This window comes from Homo sapiens, chromosome 4 (genome assembly GCF_000001405.40).
Source record: "Homo sapiens chromosome 4, GRCh38.p14 Primary Assembly".
Classification (NCBI taxonomy): domain Eukaryota; kingdom Metazoa; phylum Chordata; class Mammalia; order Primates; family Hominidae; genus Homo; species Homo sapiens.
Window position 1 is genome coordinate 16,179,574 of NC_000004.12, and position 27,657 is coordinate 16,207,230.

General features: G+C 37.0%; 1 protein-coding gene across 10 annotated transcripts in view, besides 1 other annotated feature; it reads right to left on the reverse strand.

The window, feature by feature from the left end:
- The window catches only part of TAPT1 (transmembrane anterior posterior transformation 1), a 66,886-nt gene that overhangs the window by 19,069 nt on the left and 20,160 nt on the right, over positions 1 to 27,657 (reverse strand). For 4 of the 10 annotated variants that reach the window (XM_047449754.1, XM_011513816.4, NM_153365.3 and 1 more), the window contains 6 exons: positions 22,889 to 23,007; positions 11,788 to 11,950; positions 8,647 to 8,782; positions 7,208 to 7,305; positions 6,962 to 7,031; positions 4 to 84 (listed from right to left, as the gene is read on the reverse strand). In XM_047449754.1, coding sequence (XP_047305710.1) covers positions 4 to 84; positions 6,962 to 7,031; positions 7,208 to 7,305; positions 8,647 to 8,782; positions 11,788 to 11,950; positions 22,889 to 23,004 — 664 coding nt within the window. In that variant the 5' untranslated portion in view covers positions 23,005 to 23,007. Of the gene's footprint in view, positions 1 to 3; positions 85 to 6,961; positions 7,032 to 7,207; positions 7,306 to 8,646; positions 8,783 to 10,473; positions 10,542 to 11,787; positions 11,951 to 17,084; positions 17,151 to 18,031; positions 22,765 to 22,888; positions 23,008 to 27,657 lie in introns of those variants that run through there. The other 6 variants (XM_011513812.4, XM_047449759.1, XM_047449756.1 and 3 more) reach the window with 5 other exon arrangements.
- Positions 26,233 to 26,282: a silencer, noted in NCBI's record as "silent region_15303". NCBI's record gives its function as "represses an Ori minimal core promoter by ATAC-STARR-seq in GM12878 lymphoblastoid cells {active_cell/tissue: GM12878}" and the evidence as "EXISTENCE:reporter gene assay evidence [ECO:0000049][PMID:35858748]".

Consider the following 27,657-nt stretch of genomic DNA (forward strand, 5'->3'; position numbering starts at 1 on the left):
TACCTGGATTCCAAGAAAACTGTTCCATGTTTCTTAGACACACTATCAGTAAAAGCACATAATTTGTGAATCGTTCCTTAATATCTAAAAGAAAAAAAATCAACATAAGTACTGTAGTGTATATAAACAACATAATAAAGTACATATATAATTATTTTAGCCAGAACATGATGAAATTATTAGACGATGTATAAATGTCTATAAATATACAACTTTATATATATATATATGTGTGTGTGTGTGTGTGTGTGTGTATATATAGGCTGGTGCTACCATGGTAAGCCATTGACTTCTTTTGCCAACATAATTCTAGTATGGAAATTCCAGTTTTCTATAAACTTCAAAAAGTATTCAAACCATCAAACTGCTCAGATGAGGTCATTAGGTTCCTCCAATGGGCTTTGGGGACATATGACAACTGTTTCCATTTTACGGAAGAAAAAATAGAAGCAAAGAGTAAAATGAAAGACTTTGGGTAACAAAATCCTTGTATAAAATCCCAGACTATTTCCAATCTGGTAAATAGTACACAATTACTGAACTGATGAGTCCTTTAGCTGAGAGAATCCTGCTACTACAATAGCATTTCCGGGGGTGTATGTAGAACTTGAGGTAAAATAACCCCAAATTGGGCTTCATAATATTTACCATAAACTAATAACTGTGTGCTGAGATTAGGTGGAAGGAATTTAATAAAAGCAAATCACTGAATTCTTGCTAAAGGCCAGTGTACACATTTCACTTTTTAAGCTGTTAACTTTCTCATAGTCTAAGATACCGTGTAACCAAGAAATGGGACAAAATAAATTTGTCTGCAGTTAAGAGTGGCACACCCATGTATGTGTGCCGATGCAATAGTGGGGGCTGTGACTAGAAACAATCACTCATATAACAACCCATCTCAAAAGCTTTTTTACAGTCTGCTGTCATTTCCCTACTTTCCCACTGCCTCAGTAAATGCAAGCCTCACCCATATCATTCAGCCATGGCGCACCTCCTGTAAGCGCTCTGAATTTCAATTTCATCCTGATGTACTTCATGGGACTGTCTTTGCTTCTCTTTTTTTACTTCCACCTTTCCCCATTATTCTCTAGCAACATGATACAAACTTTTATTCCACAGCAAAACCTTATTCTCTGTAAGCGAGTTGGCCTTTATTCTCTGTACCTTCCCTACATCCTTAAGCTCTTCCAGTCAGTTGCTGGTACCTTCTTTTTCAGGGTAGCTCACCTCCTTATTAGTGATGGGTCTGAGCTGTGCCTTCACTCCCTCAAAGCCCAGTGGGCACTACTCACTTCCTATTTCCAAAGCTGAAGCACTATTTATTATGAGTGTGAGCTCAGGGCACAGTGAGTCTCAAGGTACCAAGCACTGAGATGCCTCTTTAGGAGGCAGGGCACCTCCGGAGCAAGGCCATGTGGATTTTCAGGTGCACCTGTTTTGATTTGTCTAGATCACATGTTTAATTTATTCTGTGACTTCAAAAGAGGATACAGGTTAAAGGAAACTAAGAAAAGTCTGCCCTAGAATAAGTTCCATCAAAGTCTGACACAAAATATATTCTTTGTTACTACAGCTAACTGTGGATCTTAATTCATGGGGTTAAATTTACCAATGTATCTTTAATTGGAATTCTGTAGAATTATTCACCAAGCTGTACCTATATGTGTGCTAAGTCCTTTCTAATTTCCATAAATGAATTTAACAATGAAATGTATTTATTTTTGATACTTCCCAAACATGTATAATATAGACTTGCTTCATTACAGAATTATCTGAAAATAAATGGCCTTGAGAAATTTAAAACACTATCTGAAATGAGCCAAAGTAACTTTTGTAAACTCTAACAAAGCAAAACTACCATCGAATTTAAATTAATTGTATTTGATTTTTGGACATATGGCAGCTGCAAGTATAGAGAAAATCTGCAATAATTTCATTTCTAAGGATACTGATGAAAGGGGGAAAAACTTATCTCATTAAAGGTGTATTTAAGGCAAAACAGATTTTATTTTTTAAGATTTTTTTATTTTTTTGAGACAAGAGTCTTGCTTTGTCTCCCAGGCTGGATGCAGCCTCCACCTCCCGGGTTCAAGCAATTCTCCTGTCTCAGCCTCCGGAGTAGCTGGGATTACAGGCATGTGCCACCATGCCCGGCTAATTTTTATATTTTTAGCAGAGACAGGGTTTCACCATGTTGGCCAAGCTGGTCTCCAACTCCTGATCTCAGGTGATCCGCCCATCTTGGCCTCCCAAAGTGTTGGGATTACAGGCGTGAGCCACTGTGCCTGGCCCAAAACAAATTTTAGAAAAGCAGACTATTTCAAAATATGATAGAGATTAATAAAAATGGATAAATTTGGTAAATGAATGCGATTTTATAAGATGAAGGATGTGAAGGATGGCAAGCTTAAAGATTAAAAAGTGACACCATAAAAATTAACTCTATCTTTATTTGATAAGATAAAGATACAAAACTATATCTAACTATAAAAATGAGGCTGTTATGTGAAGATTTTTTGGAAGTTTTATTCTTACACTTTCACAACTTTTACATTTAAATGTTTTACATAGACATTATAAAATCAAGATTTGACTTTTAAAATTTGAGTTAAAAAATACCCAAATTTTAAGTTTCTCCAAAGTAAGATATAAAAAGAAATAAAATTTTTATGAGAATAACAGAGTCTGATACTGATAATCAAACATATATTAGATAAATAATGCAATCAGCAACATATTTATACCATCTCATCTTCAGAATAGTCAGGGTTCGGATTAGAACTGAACTCTTACATTGATTAAAAATTAAAATTTCTAGGAATGTTTTCTCCTAACCTTTATTAAGAAGCTTAAAAACATTGGTATTAATGCTTTTAAAATATTTCTGACATTCAGGTTATTAAGCTTTTTCCTTGCTATATTACCACTAACAGGGATATACTTTAACATACTTGCAGTCACATTTTAAATATAAAATGAGTGACTATTTCCAACAAACATCCACATTTATTGCAGATATGCAGGCTTCTAAGAGTGCTAAGTGAGCTATAAGCTTACTCCAGACAACCTAACTCCTGAAGGACCTTTCTAAATGCACAGTTCACATTACCAATGCGTAAAAAACTACCTAAAATTCTTCATCTCAAGAATGCAAACCAGAAAGGCTGGGGTTCCACATTCAGCTAACGCTTATGTTAAAATGAAGTGAAGAAAAGGATAATTTGTTAAAAATCTGGTTTTGGTAACTAAACTACTTTTCACATGTCCTCAGGCAATTCCTCCAAAGAAAATATACAGTGAGCTACCACTGAAAGGGGTAAAGTTACTCTCAGATTTCTCCATGAAGTCTTCTATATTAAACCAGCATGAAGGACTGAACCTTACACTACGTATCTGGCAACTCAAATTCTGATGGAGAAAAAATTCATAGGAAAATTCATAAGAAAAAAATAGCCGATATGAGTATCCCTCCTGACTGGCTCTCATTAAGTAGCTACTACTGAAGCATATGAAGAAGGCAACATATTCATATAAAGAGTAAAAAGCACCTCTTGGTGACTCCTGATCTTTCCATTTTAATAGCTGAACGTTGCCTAGAATATTTTTTTTCTTACTTGAGAAGGGTCTTAAAATCTGCCTTAGGGTAAAGTTAATTTCTTATAAAACTCTTAAAGGGTACAATGCGGACCACCTTGCATTGTAACATGAGCTACTTTGCTTACAGCAAAAAGTAATTTTTTTTTTGGTGCTAAGTAGTAACCATTTTAAGCCAAAATAAAGTCCAAATTTCTTGTAGACTGATATGCATACCTGATCATTATATCATTTTTTTTCCCAGAGTTTTCTTAAAACTCAAATATTGAATACCTAATCTTTCTAAGCTAAGAGGTTGGAATTCTGGGGAACCCGTTTATAAAAATGAAAAGGGGTATTAATTACATCAACATGCTGGCCATAAGGTTAAAAACATTCACAATTTCCCCCTCATAATTTTGAAGCTTTTATACACAAGGATTGAAAACCTTTAAAACTTAAGATCTGCGTGTCTAGTTTAAGGCTCTATAAAGAGCACTTACCCAAAGGAGGTTACTAATATGAATTAATTTAAAAAAAACATGGTTTCCACAACAAACGAAATTCTTACAGTTGAATCAATTTACTCTATGGTTAACTACTGAAGCAAAGTATTCTATAATTTAGTACCTTCCCTCCTTCCTCTTTCATTTCTAATTCATGACACTTGGCAGTCTGCACTTGAAAGGTGAGCAACATTAATAAGCAGCAAGAATATGAACTGCTTCTCAGAGCCTTGAGAGTCAGGTCCAGCATGGCCTCATAGAATCATCTAGGCTTTATGTTCAAGTTTTCCATTTGTTCTTTTTGTTCCTTGCTTAGTTTTCAAATCTCCTATAACTTGTTTAACATATTCATATGCCATTATTTTCCTTGTCTAATATACAGGTAAAATTTACATACAGTGAAATGCACAGATCTTAAGTACATTATGTGATGAGTTCTGATCAATGCATAACTTGAGACACCAAGCCCTTAATACAGAAAGAAGTTCCATCATCCAGAAAGCTCCTTTGAGTCCCCTTAGTCAATCCAAATGCCCAACAAACAACCTCTTATTCCTATCATCATAAACGAATTTTGTCTGATCATAAACTTCATATAAATGAAATAATACATCATGTACACTTTTGTGTCTGGCTTTTCTGCTCAACATAATGCTTCTGAGACCTACATAGCTGACAATATTAGGAGTTCATTCTTTTATCTTTAATTGCTAAGTAGTATTCTATGGTATGGATATACAGTTTGTTTATTTTCCTACTGATAGCTATTTGGGTTGTTTCCAGTTTTTGGCTAGTATGAACAAAGCTGCCATAATAATTCTTGCAACAAGTCCTACTGAGGAAATATATTTCCTGAATTACAGGGCAGGTGAACATTTAACTGTAAAAGAAATGGCCAAAAACAGCAGTTGTAATACTTTACACTCACGCCATCGATGCCTGAGTGCCAGTTAATCCATATCCTAACTTGTGGCACTGTCAGGCTACAAGAGCAGTCACTCTGGAGGGTGTGCAGTGCTATCTCATTATGGCTTTGTCTTTCTCCAGTGACATTTTCCCTAATAATGCCGAGCAGCTTTTCATGACCTTATTGGACATTTATAGATTTTCTTTTGTGAAATGTCTGTTCAAGCCTTTTCCCCATTTTAAAACTAGATTGTCCTTTCATTATTGATTGGTATAGTTTGTTATATATTCAGAAAACAAACAAACAAAATCTATCGTCAGATATATGCATCTCAAATCTTTTCTCTTAGTACTGTGGCTGGCCTTTTCACTTTTTAAGTTTTATGATCACATATTTTAATTTTGAAGAAGTCCAGTTTCTCTCTTTTGTTTTACATTTAGTACTTTTTGTGTGGTCTCCAAAAATGTTTGCCTAGACCAAGGTTGTGAATGTTTTCTCCTATATTTTGTTCTAGAAGTTTTATAACTTTAGCATTTATGTTTAGGGTTATGAACCACTATGAATTAATTTTCTTGGGCAGGGAAGGGGCCAAAGTTCTTTTTTTTTTAACCTTTATCCAACTGTTCCAGCATTACTTGTTGAGAAACTCTTCTCACTAAATTTTGTTTTATAAAATATCTTTTTTATTGAAATGTTATTTTTGTAAGCATGTAATATTTTTATTAAAATTTCTCAGTTTTCATTTCGAATATGGTGAATAGGGAGAGACATAATCCATATAAATAAAAGTCCTTTGGAATCATCGTAATTTTTTTTTTTTTTTGAGACAGCGTTTCACTCTAGTCACCCAGGCTGGAGTGCTCTAGTACAATCTTGGCTCACTGCAACCTCCGCCTCCCAGGTTCAAGCAATTCTCCTGCCTCAGTCTCCCCAGTAGCTAGGATTACAGGTACCCGCCACCACACCCAGCTAATTTTGGTATTTTTAGTAGAGACGGGGTTTTACCATGTTGGCCGGGCTGGTCTTGAACTCCTGACCTCAGGTGATCCACCAGCCTCGGCCTCCCAACGTGCTGGGATTACAGGCGTTAGCCACTGCGCCTGGCTGATCATCATACTTTTTAAAGTGTGTAAAAGGGTTCTCAGGACCAAAAAGTCTGACAAGCGCTGCTTTGGATGAGCCATGTGTGCTCTTATCTACGACAGGACTGCAGGCCTCCCCATAACACACCCCTCCTTCCTCAAGGACATCATCAAGCCAGGTTCCTTTAGGGGTCCTCTCTATTGTACATCTGTCTGGATTCATGCTAAAACACCACCATTTCTTCATGACTTGTGCAAATGTCACCATGGCAGAAGAGATGAATAATGTCTTCATATTCTTGTGAAAACACTTTTGACTCTGAGCATACTCCCTGGCAGAGCCCCTGGGACTGTTCTTGGGGGCTCCATGATCCACCACGCAATGTGGCTCTGGCTTTCAAAAACTATGTAAGACAATGACTCCAGGCACAAAAATTTTGTGCCTTCACACTTTTTAGGATTAGAACGAAGGCAGTAAATAATAACTAAATAATAACTAAAAAAGCTAAGGACTTAGAGACAATCTGAGATTTATAGACATAGTTCTCCTAGAAGCTATGTGACTGTGGAGAAGTCAAATTATTTTCTGTGTTTCAGTTTTCACATCTATAAAATGGAAAAATACCACCCACTTCAGAGAAATTTCTAGACTATTAAGAAGCTTCTCAAAGTAGCGTATGGTGCTACACAAATGTTTCTAATTTTTTTATCTCAAACATCTTGTGATTACAGGAACCAAAAATAAGAAAACCTAGTAAAGATGTTGATAGCATAAGAGAAGGTACAGTTTAAGCTGAAGAGTGGCCCAGAGAAAATGTGCCATTAGGATTTCAGAATGAACTGCAAAATAATACTGCACAGAACTTCAAGTAGAATCTAATTGTACATACCGCTATTTGACATTTGAAAGAGATTGTTCTTTTCAAACTTCTTGAAAACACTTCCTTTAATTTCAACAAACTGAAATAGTAAACAGAAATACCATCTTTATGATTATAACAGTTTAAAAACTGGACTTGCTACTTATAAAACTTCCGGGAGAACAACATATAGAACAAAGAATTTTATCCCACCCAGAGTATTGCAGCTGAAATGCCTGTATAACTTCAAAAATGTAAGATAAATCTCATACTTACATTATTAGACATCATGATAGTAAGCAAAGACTTGTTGTGTGAGTTAAAAGCTACATTGAGAGTTGTTGCTTGAACCATTATAAGAATTGCATGCAAAACTAATAGAAGGTCAAGGAAAAAACTTAAATTTGCTTTCATATTATTACTGATAATACTATAAAATTTTGAAAGTGAATAATAAAGATGACTTTCTTTTCTAAATTGTCTTAATAAGTATTGTATTATCTTCATAATTTCCCTATTAGCTATAGTTGATATAAGTTTGACAGGATATGTGCAATCCACATGAAACGAACAAAAGTGGAAATGTACCTCTATGCATTCATTTATTTAGACCATGAATCCTTTGCAACAGGGTTGTTTTGTTCTTTCTGTATCTCTGGCACTTGGCACAGTGCTCAGGAAATAGGCCCTCAAAAAAGTTTGTTAAGTAAATGGAATAAATTATGGTAAATACTGAAAGAAGAGACTAAGAAATACACATTCTGAATTAAAATAATTTGCATTCTAAAAAAGAAAGCACAAAATATAATTCTGGAAGTGATTTTCTTCCCTGAGTCTTCAGGAAATGTGGAATGTAAGGCAGTAGGAAATATCTGATAATTAAGATTCTTCTTCATATGTCATTTTGAAGATATCCATAAACTGCAGAATTATATTTGTATTACATACAGAATAGTTAATTTATATCTAAGAGTGGTAACTGCTTTACTCCATTAAAACTGGAACAAGATTTTACCCTCACAGGTATCTTCCAACTTGGTTCTTTAACTTTCCAAGCATTAACCCAATTTCTTTCAAGTGTCACTGTTACAGAGATAGAAAAAAAAAAAAGTGACTCATTCTTGTGAATGAGTCCTGACTTCACATGGAACTTAAGAGCAGGAATGTGTGTATAAATATGTAGGGGTACACACAAACATGTACACTGCTTATACAGTAAAGCACTTACTCTCCAATAGAAAAGCTTAAAGCCAGGGAAGAATACACAAACACATAAAACCACCAAAACTCCTCCCAACCAATTTCACATTACACTTTTAGATAAATTCCATGCATTTTAAGCCCATAAAAAAGAATTCCTGGATTTAAAGATAACTTCAAGAAAAATTCTAACATAAGTACGAAAAATTATATAGATCTATATCAGGTATGTATAAAGATACACTGCCTTTTTATTATAAAAGTCTTCCTTATAATCAGTTACACTGCAAACAGAACTGTTTTCCAGCAGCTCAAAGAGTAATGCCTACATGAGGCTCTTAAATTAGTTAGTTATTATGACAATCAATTTCTCAACAGAACACAAATATTTCACATTAATCTTCAGGATACATACATTATCTATATATCTTTAAATCTATAAAATGGCTAACCAAATAAAATAAGGTAGACTATGCATTAACTGTCGGAAATTTCCAGTAGGTCTATAAGGATACAGACATAGAGAACAGCCATGAAAAAGTGAGGAATCACCCCAATGTGGGCTCTTTTTCTTTCTTTAGGCTCTGTTGCTGTCCAATAGAGAGCATCTAATATGTCTTGTCCAAAAGATGAAAACAGACGATCAGCTACCTAAAAAAAAAAATTATTTGTAAGATGTTTCTTAATATTCCATTTAAATATATAACTAAAATTGAGATATAGCTCAAATCCTGGAGATCTGTGTTTTAAATCCTAGTAGAAGGCAAGCTAAAGAGGAGTGAGGATCTTTGTTTACTTATTCACTCACATTTCTTTATTCTTTAACAAATAGTAACGGCTAAAATATGTATAGAATTTCAGTTAGACTAATTAGCTATGTTTGTAACAAAGAAAGTCTTAAATAGTGGCAAAAATAAAAGGGGTGGGCACATCTGGCCGGGCACGGTGGCTCATGCCTGTAATCCCAGCACTTTGGGAGGCCGAGGTGGGCGGATCACGAGGTCAGGAGATTGAGACCATCCTGGCTAACACAGTGAAACGCCGTCTCTACTAAAAATACAAAAAATTAGCCGGGCGTGGTGGCAGGCGCCTGTAGTCCCAGCTACTCGGGAGGCTGAGGCAGGAGAATGACGTGAACCCGAGAGGTGGAGCTTGCAGTGAGCCGAGATTGCGCCACTACACTCCAGCCTGGGTGACAGCGCGACTCTGACTCAACCAAAAAAAGAAAAAAAGGGGGTGGGCACATCAAAATCATGGTTCCTCTGGTTTTAGCACTTTAAATTCAAACTCAGGATTCAAATTTAGGACAAATATATCATTTGACCTACTCATATCTAATATTTGTAAATAATGGTAACTATTTTTTTGAGGTTTATTATATGGAATAAAATATGCAGATTTACTTCCTAACCACATTTTCAGGTATCAATCTCCTTGAATACAGTATAACAGGTAAAAATTGACACATAAAAGAGAGAAAAGGAGGGCATGATATTCAGGATTCAGTCTGAATGCCACATCCTAACAGAGGCCTTTTCCAGACCATCCAATCTCTTGTGGCTCCTATGGTCTCTACTGCCTTAGTCTGTTCTTTTTCATCATAAGATATATCATTTCCTAATGTCTCCTTGTTTATTGTCTATCTCTCACCTGTAGAATATAAGCTCCATGAGAATAGGCTGGTTCACCTGTGAGTCTTCAGGGTCTAAGATGCTTGGCATGCAGCAAGTGCCAACTAAAGATGTGCTGAATGAATAACAGCTACCATTTAGGGAGCTCCTACCATGGGCCTGATATTGTGCTAAACCCTTTCTATGTGAAGTCTATTTAATCCTCATAATCTCCCTAGTATCTCCACTTTACAGATGAGAAACTGAGGATTAGAGATATTCAGCAACAGTAACTATGTCCAGGATAACAGGTAATAAAGGAAGGACTAGGATTTGGTCAGAGGTGGTTTGCCTCTTCCAGAGCATGGACTCTCATCCACTGTGTTTAAGCCACCTCATCAATTATAGTCTGCAATGTGAATACGTATATAAATCATTTTAGTCAGCAATTCATGGATCCTTTTTCTCGGCCTATTTTCTAGTAACAATAATAATACTACCTTGAGAGGGCTTTGTAAGTCAGGGGACAGGGAGAAACCCTCGCACTTTCCAGTGTCCTAAGATGGAAAGCCTACGAAGGAGAGACTAGTAGGGCAGCAGTGAAAAGAGCAAGGCAGAGAGCAGAGGGGAACAGGGAATGAGGCCTAGGCTCTTTCTATGAGAAGGAAGGGAGAACAAGATGAGCTATTCTGTTTCACAAACTTTGTCCCCATCCACCCCTAGGCAACCTACTTGGTGGGGCAAAGTGTACGCGCAGCAAGCCTAGAATCAGGTAGCTGGGGTATGGTTTTAAAACATCTTGGTCTTGAATTTAGGAGGTACCAGGAAGGCTAGAGCTCCATGGCTTCTGTGAAGAGATGGAGAGTCCTTGTCTACCACAGCGATGCAGCTTCAGAGCAGAAAGGCCAGCAGCCCCCACCCCATCTGTCCTCTCACTAGGAAAAATCTCTTCATGGCTAATTAGAAAGATAAATAGACCTTATTGTATCCCCCCAAAAATAAAATATAAAAACGCAATTTGAATTTCTTTTTTTTTTTCCCCGAGATGGAGTCTCGCTGTGTTACCCAGGCTGGGGTGCAGTGGGACGATTTCAGCTCACTACAACCTCCACCTCTAGGGTTCATGTGATTCTCCTACCTCAGCCTCCCAAGTAGCTGGGATTACAGGCACGCGCCACCAGGCACGGCTAATTTTTGTATTTTTAGTAGAGACGGGGTTTCACCATGTTGGCCAGTCTGGTCTTGGACTCCTGACCTCAGGTCATCCGCCCCGCCTCAGCCTCCCCAAGTGCTGGGATTACAGGTGTGAGCCACCGTGCCGGCCTGCAATTTGAATTTCAAAGTTTATTATATAACTTAGGGTAGCTTACTATTTAAAAAACTTGTGAATATCTGGCTTATAAAGCGAAGCATTTTTTTGTAAAGTGAATGTATATCAGCTCAACTTATTTTTTATATAAATGCAGATTTTCATACGCTGAATGCTTTGAAGTGAGACATATTGTACTAAAAACATTACTTACAAAAATTGGGAACTTATATTTATTTACCCTATGTAAAGATCTGAATTTAAATGTGCAACTTAAAATGTGTATTTCTTACAGCAAACATATACATAATCATAACATTTACTTCATAATTTAAAGTTCTAGCATGGGTTTCTAATGAAGTTGTGAAACTAATTTCCCTAGCACTTGACAATTTGGATACTCAAGGGGGTACTGGTTCTAAAATGTCTGGGCAGCAAGAATCTTCCCAGCCTACATGAGGACATGCCATGCCTGCAGGCTTGCCACCAGAGGTGTGTCCCAGACCAGCAGCATGAGCCCCACCGCCCTGGAAATGCAGATTCTCCAGACCCAGCCTAGATCTCCTAAATCAGAATCCATGTTTAAGAAGAGCCCCCAAGTGATGACAGCACAGTAAAGGCCAGAAGCACCATAACTAGAGTCGGTAGAGCATTCTTGACTCTCAGGTACCTTCAGAACTGAAGACTTGAAGCTGAGTGCCCTGGCCAGGCCTGTGCGGGGTAAGCAAGGCCCTTACCTCCAGCATGTTGTAGATGATGTAGAGCTTGATGACGGACTGCCCCCTTATCAGGTGGTACATCATGGAGTAGTCAACATAGTGCATCATAAAATAGCAGATTACCAAAATGACACCCTTCAAAATGTCACACACCTGGGCAGGCTGAAGCAAACGTCTGTCCCTGAAACATACAAGAAGTAATAAAAATATAATTTTTACTCTGTATGTTCTCACAAAAACAATAATCTTTACTCGATATACACTGGCATACAAAGGTAAAAATAAGAATTATGTTGATCTTTTAAAAACTTCAAACAAGGGAGGTTAAACTAAATGACTACTCGACAGTGTAAAATTTTCTGTCCAAGTATAGAATATAAAGATTTTAAGTAAGAATTACTATTAGATGTTGGCAATCTTAACAAATGAACACAGAGGGCAGGTATCTACTGATAGGGTGCTTTCCAGCAACAGATTTCCACCATTATGGCATAAGCTTTTAACCTAATCATGAATCCCTGCACATAGCCTGCTGGATCAGCCCTTTTCACACAATGCTACATTCTATGCATACTGCTCTGCATTTTGTACTTTATTTAACGGCATGATATTCCATATAAGTTCATCAGGAGTTCATACTTTTTTGGCAGCATAGTGTTCCACTATGTGGATGAACCATAATTTATTTAACGTATAACTGACAGATTTCTAGTCTTTTGCAATTATGAGCCATGATGCAATCTACATGCCATGTCACATATATGAAAGTGTATCTGTAGGATAAATTCCTGAAATTGGAATTCCAAGGTTATATTCACTTGAAATTTTGATAGAAACAGCTGAACTGCCCACTGTACTGGGTACAGTTTATACCTCAACTAGCAATGTCATGAGAAAGCCTGTAGCCCAGGGCACTGATACAGTGTTTGATCAACTTTTGGATCTTTGCCAGTCTCACTGATGGAAAATCGTACACAGTGTAGTTTCACCGTTAATTTCTATCATTAGGAAACTAAACATCTTTCCACATATTTAACAGTTATTTATATTTCATATGAACACTCCCTATCTTTCTTGTACTGGTTTATAGGACAGCTTTTGTATTACAAATGTTAGACCTCTGTGACTTCAGTTGAAATATTTTTTTCATAATTAATATGAGCAGAAGAATCACTCCTTACTTCTGAGGTTAGAGTAAAAGGAGCTAAACCTAAATTGTGAAAGGAACCATCTTAACAAGACAGAGCAAAAAATACATTAGAAAAGAAGAAATTTAAGATTTCTTCCACTGGATTTAAAATTCTTGTGATAAGAATGGGAAAGATACGTTCTCTTTGCCTGTTGCAGGCTGATTCCTCAGGACAGAAAATGCTGTCTCTTGTTTTGTCAGCTTTTATGCATAGTGCAATCAATAAAACGGCCCGAGTACTTTTTTTTAGGAGCTGCAGAATCTCTTCATTTCCACCAATTGTGACAATGTTCTAAGCAACAATACAGGGGTGGGCTCATTTTCTAAATGGCCATTGGCCATCTGAGTCACCTATGTATTTGATATTCCTTGGCTACATATTCTCCAGAGCTCTTTCCTAATGCTTTTCCTCCAAAGATCTTTGTGGAGTTTAAGAAGGAATTTGTAAATCTTCCAAACTGTTACTTGAAACATTGCTTTATAAGGTCACAATGATGCTCTACCAATTCTGTGAGCAGTTGTTACAGAAACTCATTCTTGTTTTCTACAATGTGCACTGTATGATGTTTTCAGTTAGATATTAATTTGGCTGATCTATTTACAGACAGAATCTAAGATATTGCAGAAATTCTGAAAGCAGACAAATTCTGTGAAGACTGTTCACGAAGGGCTAAAGGTGGCTGGAAATACACTGGGCTGGACCAATGAGCCTAAATAAGAGAGAGGTCAGAATGTGTCTAAGTCAGATCACATGACTTAAGATGGGTATGAAAAGCCAAGTAAAACTACTCTTAGCAGTTGAAGTTAAGGCTTCAGGAAAGATTGCATCACGGCCAAAGTTGATCAATCTCTGTCATTATTTCTTTTTCACCATGACTTTCTTTTATCCAATGATGTTCCTCTTTCTCCCACAGAGAGAAAGAGAGACCTTTTTCTCCTCAGGGAACAAAGAATGTCCTTCATCTCCTGACTCCCAACCAACCAGCCCAGAGCACAGATCTCTGCCAAGGGCTACCTGAATATCAAGATAATTTCCTGCCCTTATCCCTACAAGACTGAAAATGGAAGACCTATTATATCTGCCAAGAATTGGATCTTGATCACTTAAACATATTTCTCATTCAAACACTGAGAAGAGGAGACGTTTTGAACACTTGTGAGCTCCTGGCCTTGGTGTGACTGTCTCCACTTGGGCAGCAGGGAACAAACGTGAGCCACCAGCCCCCACTCAGAAGAGTAGCACAGCTCAGCATATACTGAAAGTCACACATCATCAACAGTCATGGGCTTTTGTGTTTAAAGACTGTAAGTCATGTTTATAAATTAAAGAAAATGATACGAGCTAAAAGTAGGGTAGTATTAATTTGTGTTAATTATGAAAATAATTTTGATAACTAATTAAAGTAGAAAACTATACTTAGAGCTTTTCGTATTAGATGGCATCTACTTAGTTGAGTGATCTCAGTCAGAGCAATTTTATTTGAGACAAAGGGCTTTTAAGTATATATCCAATTGTGTTTCTTTATATACATATTTTGAATCAAAGAACAACGTGTTAGTATATCAATGAAGGAATAGTATATTTAATACAAGCCATAGTTAGAAATTAGATCTACCAAACATTGGAAACACATATCCCAAAATGATATAATACCACACTTTTTGAACCAAGCTGATAAATTAACAAAGAAAAGTTGTAGAAACACCTAATGCTACAATTCAGTTACTACGTGGCAAGCACTGTTCTAGACACTCCACATATATTCCTTTCAGTGTTCACAATAATCCTATTTATTTAATCATCTTGGTTTTACAAATGAGCCAAGGGACAGTCAGGAACATGCCTGTGGTTGTACAGTGATTAAGTTCCCACACGGTGCAGCAGGGATGGAAACTTGGCAACCTGGCTCCAGAAGGCATGCTCTTCAGAAACATCTGCACTCTAGACTTTTTAAAACAGAACTTCTAAACTTGCAGGAATCAACAACTCAGAACCTACTATCTTTCTGTAAAATTTTACACTGGATACTTTATCACTGTACCGCAATCTCATCTCAATAAATTGCTGTACAAAAAAACAAACCTATCTATCATTTGGTATTTCTAAAAATGAACGCAAAAAAAAACTGGACTATTATGATATATATACGATATACACATATTGAATTCACTGCTTTCTGTGCACCCCCTGCTCTGGTGGAAGCGTTCCATCCATTGCTAACATCATAATTGGTTGCTGCAGGAATGACTGTGATTTTCAGGAGGAATATTATTCATATAAAGAATACAAGAAGCAGAACCTTTAAAAAACAAGGGTCTTGATTTCTGTCTTCTTCTTCTTCTTCTTCTTCTTCTTCTTCTTCTTATTTTTTGTATTTTTAGTACAGACAGGGTTTCACCATGTTGGCCAGGATGGTCTTGAACTCCTGACCTCAGGTGATCCACCGGCCTCGGCCTCCCAAAGGGCTGGGATTACAGGCTTGAGCCACCGTGCCCGATAAGGGTCTTGTTTTCATATAAATGTCCTTGTTAATAAAAAAGAAAGGCTGCCAAAATAAAAAATTGTTTCTAAGGTGGCATCTTAAAAGACAGCTGTATGTACCACAGCCTCTTTCTAAGAAAAGACCTAACCTCACAAATAAGTTTACCTGGTTAAAACAACTTGAACCAATCAGTTTATTTGTTCCTTCTCTGCCAGGATATTTTTAGATGACTATCTGATAAGCACTTCAAACTCCCTAAGAAGCTTATCCAAGGCCCTGCCATTCAACCCCGAACTGGCTTTTGAAAAATACTTTCATGCTACAGTTCTTATAAATGGCTAAGTGGTGGTTACTGGCAATTCACCTTGCAAATGATGAAAACCCCATATGAAAGCATAAACAAGTGAAACATACTGTTGGGCAAAGTGAAAAACCCACTAATCTAATTTGCAGGTTTGGGTGTATGTCATCACACAAGTAATATTACATCAGGTATTTAACAAAACTTAAACATTTTTCAACATAAGACATTTAAACAGAATTCTTTTAAAAATTTCTAGTAAAACCACCCTTACAGAAACCAAATTAGCTAAATTTCCAAAATTTTACTTTTTATTCTTACAAACATTTCCATTTCCATTGTATTTCTGGTAACTGTACAATTTTACATTGTACAATTTACCAGTTAGAGCATCTCTAGTTGTTTCAAAGGGCTCATAGACTTACAGAAACTGAATTATACAGTAGAGAAAGACGATCAAGGGTAAGCTGTTTCCTTTTCCTCTTTAGGGGAAGATAATATGCTAACTATGATTAAAGTAACATCTAGTAGTGGACAGAAAGATCAAGAAGGAAGATGTGGCACCAAAAATGAGCGAGAAAAATGGGAGAATCCCTGCATAGTTATTTCAAATCAGTGTTGAAACATGCCAGAGTATTAGCATGAGTTATTTCATTACAAAATACATAGACTAGATCTCTCGCTCTCTCTCAATATTTTCAGCCATTTGTGGTATAATTGGAAGAGTGAAGAAACACAAGCACTACTGAAATAAAAATGCAAAATAATATGTTTTTATTTTTGAAAGTGAAATCCTTTTATAATTTAAGTAAACTGGAATAAAGTAGTGAAATCAAGATGTTTTCCTGAATTAGAAAATTAAGTATCTTAAATCTTCAGTTTGACTCATATGTAACAGAAAAATAAATACTTAAACGGAATGATTCAAACCATTTCTTAAACTTTAATTTCAAACTATACTGAAAAAAATAACTTATTTATAAAGCTATGTTCACAATTTTAGTAATGCAAAATAAAAACTGCTTATATGGAAGGAATTAAGCTCAGCCAATTTCTGTGGCTTTGGGGATGAAGTATTTGCTAAGTCTAAGCTAACATGTGTAAAGATGACTTTTGAGCGGATTTTCATGTTAGGTGAAATCACAGTCAAATCCTTCACAAAGAAATGTGGACAAAGCTTTAAGACCAAGTAAAGATGCTATTTTAAAAAGGACAGGGATCCACATTTTCTTCAGTATGTTTCTACCCCCTAATGGCTATGTCTGCCTATCCTGTTTACTTTTGCATTTAATGAATGTCAATTTGGCCAAGAGTATAGAAGGAAAAATCAGGGTTTACTCACCACAAGGAGTCCCTGTGCCACCACATTCCATTCTATAAAGGAAGTGAAAGTGCTCCTCCCTTCGGTCTGATTTACGAGAGAGAAAGAAAGAGAGAAGATTGTAATGTTGCTACGCTACTTAGAGCTCCATGGTGAGGAAACGGGACAATAAAACCTGGTGTTACGAAGACTTTCTAATAACAAATATATTGCTCTCAACAAATAAGCCACATAGATCAGCCCTGGTAAAAGGAAGTAAAAGGCATATTTGTTTCCCCAGAGAAAGTTACCAAGAGCTCTCCCTACTTGTGCTACAGTGGTGGCATCAATCACTTAGGCCAAAATCAAGGCTTAATTTTGTCTAAAAAGAGAAAAATCTATTATAACATATAGGTGAGGTTAATCTTGGGCAGAACTATTTCGAAAGAGGTAAGGCATACGAAGGAAACTCAAAAGGTTAGGAAACTCTCAAGCATCTGAAATTCATAATTCTGGGAGACAAGAGCTCTCCCATGGGATAAACTCTCAAAAGAAAATGATACTATTGCCTCTTCAACCAAGAAAAATAAAAGCCTGTGAAGCCTCATGTGAGAGTTATGCCTAAAGCCGGGCCAGGGGACAGAACATTTGCTCACACATATTTTAGTTGCTCTAATAGTAAAAAACAAAAACCAAAAAACACTCCGGCATTTATTACTTAAGCCTGTTCAACTCATGTATCACTTTCTAAAATGTTTCAGTAAAGTTTTTTCAACAATAACTCAATTCTTGGTACCAGGCTATATCATTTTTCTCTACAATCTTCTTTAACTTTTAACTTACGTGACTGAGAATTCTAAAGCACAAAACGAAGTCACAAATTTCAGGAGAATAGAGGGCTGACAAAAATGCCAGGTAAATCAAATGTACATAATTAGCTATTTTTCATTCAATTCTACAAGCAAATTTGGAAAAAGGATGTTTCGTACCTCTAACATAATATAGAGCAGTCTGCTTTTCTGAAAAACAAAAAATTCTATCATTCTTCCAAGGAATAGACACTTCATATAATAAATCAAAACTTAGTTCTGTTTTATATGTCATGAATCATTAAAAAGATTATCCTCGTTCAAGAAGTTTCTCAAATGATTTCTAAAATGACACTACTCTTATCTGGGAAAGAGGGAAGATATACATAAGTGAATCTGCTTTTAAAGAATTTAGATGCATTTTCTAATTTTTTTTTTAAGTCTACAACAAAATATTTGTGGGCAAAGATTTTTCAAGGTTGTTAATTCATCAGAAACTATTTCAGTGAAGTATTCTTGAGATCACTGAGGACAGACATTAACTTTTAGGGAGGGAGTGCATCCTTGGCAAACACCACACACAAATATGACTGCAGATAATTACCCTGCCAACATCTCATAATGAACAGTACTTAAACAACAGGGTCAAAGCCAGCAAAACACCCTGCTGGATGAGCCATCATGATGAAGGCTGGGTTTACTTAAGGCACTGTAGAACCACCCTTGTCCTCAGCCTTAGTGAAGGGACAGGGTCTTTATTTTACTTAAGTCAAAAACCATGGCAAGTTTGCAGAAGAACTAGAAATAGGTTCAAATATTAAGTTATGAAGCAGAGAACACGGGGGTCTATGTGCTTTAAAAAGCTTCTCACAAATGCTGTACAAGATGTAAATCTGCAAACAGATGAGGTGAGAACACTGATCTCAAATATAAAAAGAAGGCAATAATTTACATTATTGATGTGATACTGAACCAAACAGTTCTAGAGTCTGCAAAGAGTTACTGTTTTCACGTCAGCATTGTGATTAATTTGACAAATGGACTGTTTCCTCCCTTTTGTGAAAACAATTTCAAAGAACAAAGAGACTAGGAAGACAGTAAGTTTTTACAGAAAGAAGATTGAAATACAGGAGAGTGAAAAAAAAAAATTATTTAAAAAATTGCAATCAACTTCTTTGCCAGTCTATTTCACTTCTTCTTATTTCTTTGAAAAAAATAAAGTCAGACTGAAGGAAAGAGCACTTTTTGCTTGCTGAAAAGGATGGAACATGACATCACTACAGGCAAGACAAATCGAATAATCTTTAATGGAAGTAGAAAACACAGGAATAAAAGCTATCAGAAGGCAAAATCTGGCTATTTCTAAATAATCATTTGGTAAACCTAAAAAGTATTTTTATATTCCAAAATATTTGAAAGGTCTTAGACTTAATATTAACAATAGCTTTGTTTATGTAACTTTTACCTTATCAAATATTTCAAGTTTCGTGACTTTAAAAATAATGCTCAAAGAGATATTTTCTAAATTGCTCAAAGAAACAAAAATTGCAGCCTATATTACTGTAAGCACAAATTACTCAATTTTGATAAACCATACTTAAGGCACTAAGACATTAGGCAGGATTTTCATATTCTGTGTAACCTGGCCTATCCTCAAAGCATTTATAATTGCCTGAACTCCGTTTCATTTAAAATTTAAATGAAAATTTAAGTTTCATTTAAACTCCTATCATTTAAAATTGCTGAAACAGTTATATAATTTTAACTGCATTTCATGTTTTTATACATATAAGTATTTATTAGTGATAGCATGAAATTAATTTTTCAGTTAATCCAAAGCAGAAATAGTAAGAAGTGTTTGCAGGGGAAATCCTCAATGGAGTCTTAAATGTCATGTGTAACAGGCTGCCCTCTAGTGTCATTTTAGCTATAAAACTTTGAAAAAAGAAAACATCTTATTTTCAAATGATACTCAAATTAATTTAGATTCAAAGTATTTCAAACTAATGTAAGAAAGCAATCATCTTATGCACTACAAAAAATCTTAAAATATCTAAAAAAGGTTAGAGGTAGGGATCATTAACCACTAGTAAAAGTAAATACTGGCAGAGGATTTAAGATTTCCCAGTTCCCTGTAACATCTTTTAGTTTTTAGAACAAACACTTTAAGAATTTTTTTTTTTTAAAGAGACAGTCTTGCTCTGTCAACCAGGATGGAATGCAGTGGTGCAATCACAGCTTACTGCAGCCTCGAATTCCTGGGCTCAAGGAATCCTCCTACCTCAGCCTCCCAAGTAGCTGGGACTACATGTATGTGCCACCACAACTGGCTAATTTTTTATTTTTTGTAGAGACAGGGTCTCGCTATGTTGCCCAGGCTAGTCTTAACTCCTGGCCTCAAGCTACCCTCCCACCTTGGCCTCCCAAAGTTCTAAGATGACAGGTGTGTACCACCGTGCTGGTCTAGAAAAGACTCTTCTAATGCTATTTTATGTGCCCTGTACCCCCACGTAACAGGGGCTACACAGAAATGAACTTGAGTGCAACACAGTTTTAGATGCCTGTACAATATAACAAGGTGGAACTTCAAACAACTGTCCCCGAAGAGAGACCCTTGGGATCACTGGCAAATCACCACTGTTACTTAGTATACCTCATACGTGTGCTAACCAATGCCCAAGGAAGGGACCACTCCAGAAGGAATACAGTCATTAGCTTATCTATCATTTTAATGTTTTACCACATTGTGCCAACAGCCACTAAGAACATGACATGTCTTTAAAAGCCGTCCACATAAAGATGGCTAGAACATGAACTTGACGCACACTGTTGATCAAAGAATAACTAAAAAGTAATGTAGCTCATAATGTAGATGTGAAAAGCCCTACATAGTATTAGTTATTTTCTTTCTTTACTTGAGACAGGGTCTCACTCATCACCCAGGCTGGAGTGCAGTGGCATAATCATGGCTCACTGCAGCCTTGACTTCTCAGGGTCAAGTGATTTTCCAACCTCTCAGCCTCTGGTGTAGCTGGGACCACAGACATGTGCCACCATGTCTGGCTAATTTTTTAAATTTTTTGTAGAGACAAGTTCTTACTATGTTGCCCAGGCTGGTCTTGAACTCCTGGCCTCTAGCGATCCTCCTACCTTGGCCTCCCAAAGTGCTGAGATTACAGGCATGAGCCACCACATCCAGCAATATTAGTAATTTTATGTCATGTGTTTCACCTGACTTTATCTAAATTTCCATGTTTCTATTCGCTTTATCCCGTTCCAAATAAAGATGTATATTTGGTAATGTTCTATTAGATTGTATTTGGGTCTTCTGAAAATGAACTAAAATGCCATGATATCATGAAGCTCCCAGGAGTGATAAAAGAAAATAGTTTATTGTGGTTAGGTTTTGTTAGTATTAATGCACCACGCTACAAATGCCTTTAAAAAGGCTTGTTAATAATAAGGCCTTCTTAAAACTTCTCCCAAAAGAAAAAAGGATGTACTAGAAATGCCTTAAAGCAAATAACTAAATTTCTAAAACTACCTTCCCATTTGATTAACTTGTGATTAATAAAATATGTAACACTAATTCACTGTTATCCTGGAAGGCAAGTAAGTTACAGAATATAGCATATAACAATGACAGGAGCTGAATTTTTATAATTGTTTTACTCCATGTAATCTTGCAAAACAAGCATTTTAAATCCTTTTATAATGTGATCATCATAATAATTATTCCAATTTATACTGGGAGGAATTTCTATCAAAACTGATTGTCTTATTTTTAAAAAGACTGTATGTGTTACTAAATATCAAGTATACGCTCATTTACTACTTTAAAAAAGAACCTTTCATGGCTTCAGTCTTTTAAAAAAACAAACCATATAAATGTGTATATCGACCACTAATTTTTAACTCAACTGCTATGGTTAAATTATTTTATTAATTATATATTTTATACACCACGGAACAGTCACCATAGTTCAATGAAGTCTCACAAATTATTGTCCATTTTAGCATTTTAGAACTTTTCCAGCATGAAATGTATGTAGAAAAGTGATGCATGTCAGAAATGTAACCTCGACATCTATGCTAAGAACTCAATAAAAATGCTGTGAAGAGTGACTATATACAGAGTGGAGACACACCGGCATAATTGTACAAAGAAAGAAAACCGTAAAAGCCAAACTCGCTTTTAACCTCAAGACCAATAAAGCATTAAGCTTCATGTAAGCTTAACATCTTCACCTTACTATTCTGAGTTTTGGTAGAGAAGAAAAAGAAGAAAACAGATTATCTGTTCTGGTCTACTATGAGCCAGGTACTATGCTGGGTATTTTTTTTACATCTTCCAATCTTTGTGGTAAAAGATGCTGAGCTCTCAATACCCCCTTTTTGCTGATGGGGAAGCACACTTAGAGAAGTCAGGCTGTTGTGCACAGCTCACAAGCTAATCAATGTCGGGTCGGGCTCTCTGATCTTCCCCGTGGGGACAATGGTCTTCCAGAGTTTTTCCACTCTCACAAATCAGTCTCGTCCATAACCAGTAACTAAGGCTCCACAGATCATTACAATGATTCTCAAATGAAATGGAGGAGGAACACTTGCAGTAAGAGCTCCTGAGGAGATTCCTTTTCCACTCCAGCCTAGAACCCTGTCCTTTCCACAGATGATGCCTACGAGGCCCAAGGACTTTGGGGAAATAAAGGCCCAGGTGAGTTAAGAACGTGATAAGTAGGTCTTTGACTTTCAGACCCGGGTCCTTTCTACACTGCTACAAAGCCTCCAGCATTAACATTATTTTACCGGCTAAAGCAAAGTTTCGGTTCAAAACAATTCTGGAAAAAAATAAGCATATAAAAAGCTTAATATTATATAAACATATTATATAATATCCATTAAAAAGGTAAACAGTTTATGCATGAAGGGCCAAAGTGTGGATGAAACTGTATGAATTATCCTTACTCTGCAACCACTACAAGTATTAAAAATAATGAAATACTATACATTTACAATAGTTAACGATCTTAAACTTACCTTAAGCCATAGCAAGGCAAAGTGAGGAGCCTGAATAGTGCCAGGAAAACTCTTAAAGGAAGCAGGGTGAACACATACAAAAACGCATCCAGGCACAGAAAGATTCCAAAAACCATCAGCTGAATTTTAACAAGGAGAGAAGAAAAAAAAAAAGTATTTTAAAAATACTTGTAGATGAAAATTCCAAACAACCAGAATTTCTAAACATTATAAAAAATTAATTTCTTAAAACTTAGCCCTGGGAATAACAAATTAACAGTTCTTCTCTTCAAAGAGTGAGTCTGTGCTTCCTCAGAGCCTTTGGTTTACGACTCACAAAAGAAATTACTCAAAAACAAGTTGCCCTTGACCATAGTTAATGGCACATCATCTGATGCGGCTTTCTGAGTACTTCCTCAAGCTCTAGATATTATGGAAAATCTTTATTCCTCATAATTTTGCTATTCCTGTTTATTAGAATGCTTCATTGATGGGAAAGACTGGAATATATATTGAGTTACAATATTGTTTATGTTAAAAATATGCAAACTGATCACTAACTTTAACACAATTTCATGTGCACTGAAACTTGCTGCACTCAGAAGGCCTTATTCTTAATTCCAGGACCAGCCTCCTAGTGTTTATATTTCTCCTCCTTTCTTGAGTACTTGCCATACCCTTTCTTTTTGTGGTATCATTAGACACTCTTACTTGTTAAGTTTAGGACTATATTTCACAGAAAGAGGGTGAAGTCTTTCGAGGACTTGGCCAAGTAGCCACCACTAGGCTAACAAACTCAGCTACTCATTTTAAGAGTGGCAACTTTCTGTATGTCTGACACACAATTATGGTATGATACATATGCCCTCACCACAGCATCCATGTATCTTTAGTCAATAAATTGCCCTGCCTCCACAGATTAAAATTCATAGTTACAGGCTGAACTGTGTCCTCTCTATCAAGTTCCTATGTTGGAACCTCAGAATGTAACCGTGCTTGGACATAGGGTCTTTAAAGAGGTAATTTAAGTTCCTATGTTGGTACCTTAGAATGTAACCGTGCTTGGACATAGGGTCTTTAAAGAGGTAATTTAAGTTTAGGTCATTAGGGTGGGCCCTAATCCAGTGTGACTGGAGTCCTTATAAAAGAGGAAATTTGGACACAGGCACAGACAGAGGAGAGATAATATGAAGACCGAAGAGGAAGGCAGCCATCTGCAAGCCAAGAAGAGGCCTCAGAAGAAACTACCCCACTGACACTCGATTGCACACTTCCAGCTTCCAGAACTGCAAGATAATAAATGTCTGTTGTTTAAACCACCCAGTCTATGGTACTTTGTTATGGCAGCCCTAGCAAACAAATTCACATGTCTTTAAATGAAAGAATACACTTTATTAATTTTTGATAAAAATATCTCAAAAATATGCTACACATAATATTTGCCAGATTTCTTAATCTGAATATATAGGCCCTTTTTTTGTTTTTAACAATTTAGACTCATTATGAACAGCAGTGAAAATACGATGCTAGATTAGCATAGAGTCACGTGTGGTAGATTAGCGTAGAGTCCCAGTGTTGCATGTTTTCTTGTCTTACACACAAAGCAGTACAGCAGGAGGCTGAGCAAGGTCCATATAGATAGAGTTCATGGTCCTTTTCTATTACTCTCCTATCACTGAGAAGCCTTTCCGTCCTTGCGAGTGGACTGCTGGTTCAGTACTGAGGGCAGAAACTGCCAGAAACCTGATGTTCCCAGGAGCGTTTGTGATCCACTAAAAAGTTGCAACTCAGTCTGAAAATCAGGTCCCGGATAGGCAGCCAGGCTGAAATTTAGTTCCTTCCTAGGCAGCTTCCAAAGCACTGAAGACAGTTCAGCTCAAACTGACTACAGAAAGCTTTGCAGAAGAGTATACGAGTGGGAACACACTGGGAAGTTCTTTGTGCAAAACTGAATTAAAAGTACTGAGTTACAAACTGCAGACATATAATTTTAAAATATTTTCTAAAATTCATTCTCAGCAGCGATTTATCAAAATGTACATGTTTCAAAATAATCTTTTGCTTAATTAATATCTTCAGGTACTTCTTTAAAATAAAAAGAGTTATAAGTGAAAACAATAAAAGGACAGAAATGTTCACCAGGCTCTCTGTCTCTGAGAGATCTTTTCTGGAAGGACTTCAGAAGCCTTCTACAGGTTCTGGGCAACGCAACCGGGCACTGGCCAGGTGCTGGGCTTGGGCCCTGCCTGTGCATGGCCGCAGTCTAGTACCACCCACACTCTGCAGTGAGACAAGGAGTTGGCCTGGGTTCTTGAGTGGTGGAGGCAGAGCCAGGACTTCACTCAGTCTGCAGAAAACTGAAGCACTATTTCTACTAATGACACTTTCACTCATCCTTCTGGCCTCACTCACCACTGGATTTACCATTATACACATTTTAAAATAAAGTTTAACATAAGTTTTTAACATCTGAACTTTAATGCTAAGGAAATTACAAAATGAAAATTATCCTGTGACATTGTAAGTAAACAAAATATTCACTTGTGAAAATTTCTACAACCTGCTCTTATCATATTTATTTTGAACCTAATAGTACTGCACTTAGCATCTGAAAAATACCTGCCTCAAGAGAAATAAACAAGTAAAAACGCCAGCCTCTTTCTGTGGGGAATGAAGCAGGGTTTCTTCACCTTTTAAAAAATCTACGTGTCCCTTTATGACAAAAATCTCCTGCCCTTCTTTTAGCACCATTTGAAATTTCAAAATAAACAAAATGTTATGGCTAAAATGAAAGAAGCATAATGATTTTGCAATATATCTCCTTGAATTACACTAACCATCTTCTGGAAATTCTGAATACCATCTCCTCCACCACAACCACCAAATACCACCTGCTAGTCGAGGATCGCTGGTCTAGGGTGTTAGAAAGTAGGAGTAAAGAGGCTTAGTCTCACTTTTATAAAGCTTGTGCTAAAGCTCTGGGTCTACTCCTGTAAAAGCAGAGACCATATCTTGCTTAATACTGCACTGGGAGGAAAGACATCCTCTCCAGGGAATTCACAACCCAGTGAGCTTGACACAAACCGCATGCTAAGTGCCAGATGAATGATGTGCTCTGGAAACACAGGTGAAGAGCCTGGGTCTGTAAAGCGTGTGTATTTGGGGGCAGGTGAGAGTGGCATGCACACCACAGGGAAGGAGGTGCAAGAGATAGCAGAGATGTCCCACAGAGGAGAGAAGACAGGCACTAGATTTTGCCAGGCAGTAAAGAGGACCGAATTTCAAACCAAGGAAAGAGCATGCACAGGTACAATGTGAGTAGCCTCCTAGTGGTGAGGTTAGGATATAATCATTATGCAAGAGGCATAAAAATCACGTTCAGTTCATTGCTAAGGAGCTCAAATTTTCATTCTTAGGTTCCAAGGTATCCTTGTCTTTTGACTGTTTTCACTTATAGCTCTTTTATTTTAAAGAGGTACCTGAAGATGATTAGGTTATTTTGAAACATGTACATTTTGATAAATCTCTGCTGAGAATGAAGATGTTCTCAATAAACTCACATATAGGGATCAACAATCAGCAGAATGTTAAGGGGAACAGGATATCAATAAGAAAACTATAAATGACTGACTTTGAAAGCAATTACTGCAGATTCAAGGTCATCCCTACAATAAAATCATTTTAATCATCCGAATTAAAAAATTCATGCCCCAGAAAGTCTATACTCTAGGAGATGGCCAACAAAGGGATTATCATGAGCCAAGTTCTCTTACGATAGGCAAGCTATGTAAGCATATGCAGCCATGGAAAACAAGTCAATTGATTTTAATTTGTAGGACTATGCACATAGAATGATCCTGAGACTTTCTTGCTTCTCTTACTTCCAATCCATGTTGAATACTGTTATATTTTAAGCACGTGACCCACATTAACTTGATCCTCACAACAACCCACCAGGCAGGAACTATTACTTGGTATTTTGCTTGCTACAGACAGGGCTTAGACAGGGCTGTGGTGCTCCTGCTGAGAGGCTGGAATGATGCAGCAAGGCAGGAGTGCCCTCAGGGTCCCAGGGCAAGACTGAGTGTCACCTAAGGAACAGAGGTCTTAGCTGCGGCTCTAGGCTCTGATCCTACACCTTCTATCTAGGATGAGATCGACTTTCTAGGGAGTGGTCAGCACGAAGCACCACAGCAGGCTGCAGTGAGCAGAGAGGACAGTACGGAAGGAGAAGAGCCATCAGTGTGAATGATCACAGCAGCCTGACATAGGACAATGGAAAGACAGAGAAGAGAAATTTAAGACTGTTTCCAAAGCTGAAATGAGAGAAATAAGTGATTGATTCACAAAGATAAACATGGCCCCATGGTGCCAAGTTCAAAAATTATCTTTTAAATACATTAATAAATGTGCTAGAGGCCTAAAGGCTTTGCTGGCTTGTCTTAGAACTATCTGATGAGTCTCATATGCCCAACCTCCCCTGAGAAAATTAAGAATGGTAAGACAGTTGCAGAAAGAACGTGGAAGCTGTGGTCACTACCACCACAAGCAGGGTGTGACAAGCCTCGGAGAGAAGGGGAGAAGCACCAGCCAAGGCTGCTGAGATTCTGAGACATGTGGATCCCTACTGGCTTTCCTGCTTCTCAGCAGCCACACAGCAGGGGCTGGGGGACAAGGAGGGGGAACATCTGCACAAGGGTGTGTCACCAGCAAGAGCTGCATTATGAGAAGAATTTAGAGGGATGATTCTCTGAACATGTTTTTATGAAATCAGAAACTGACTAGGATGC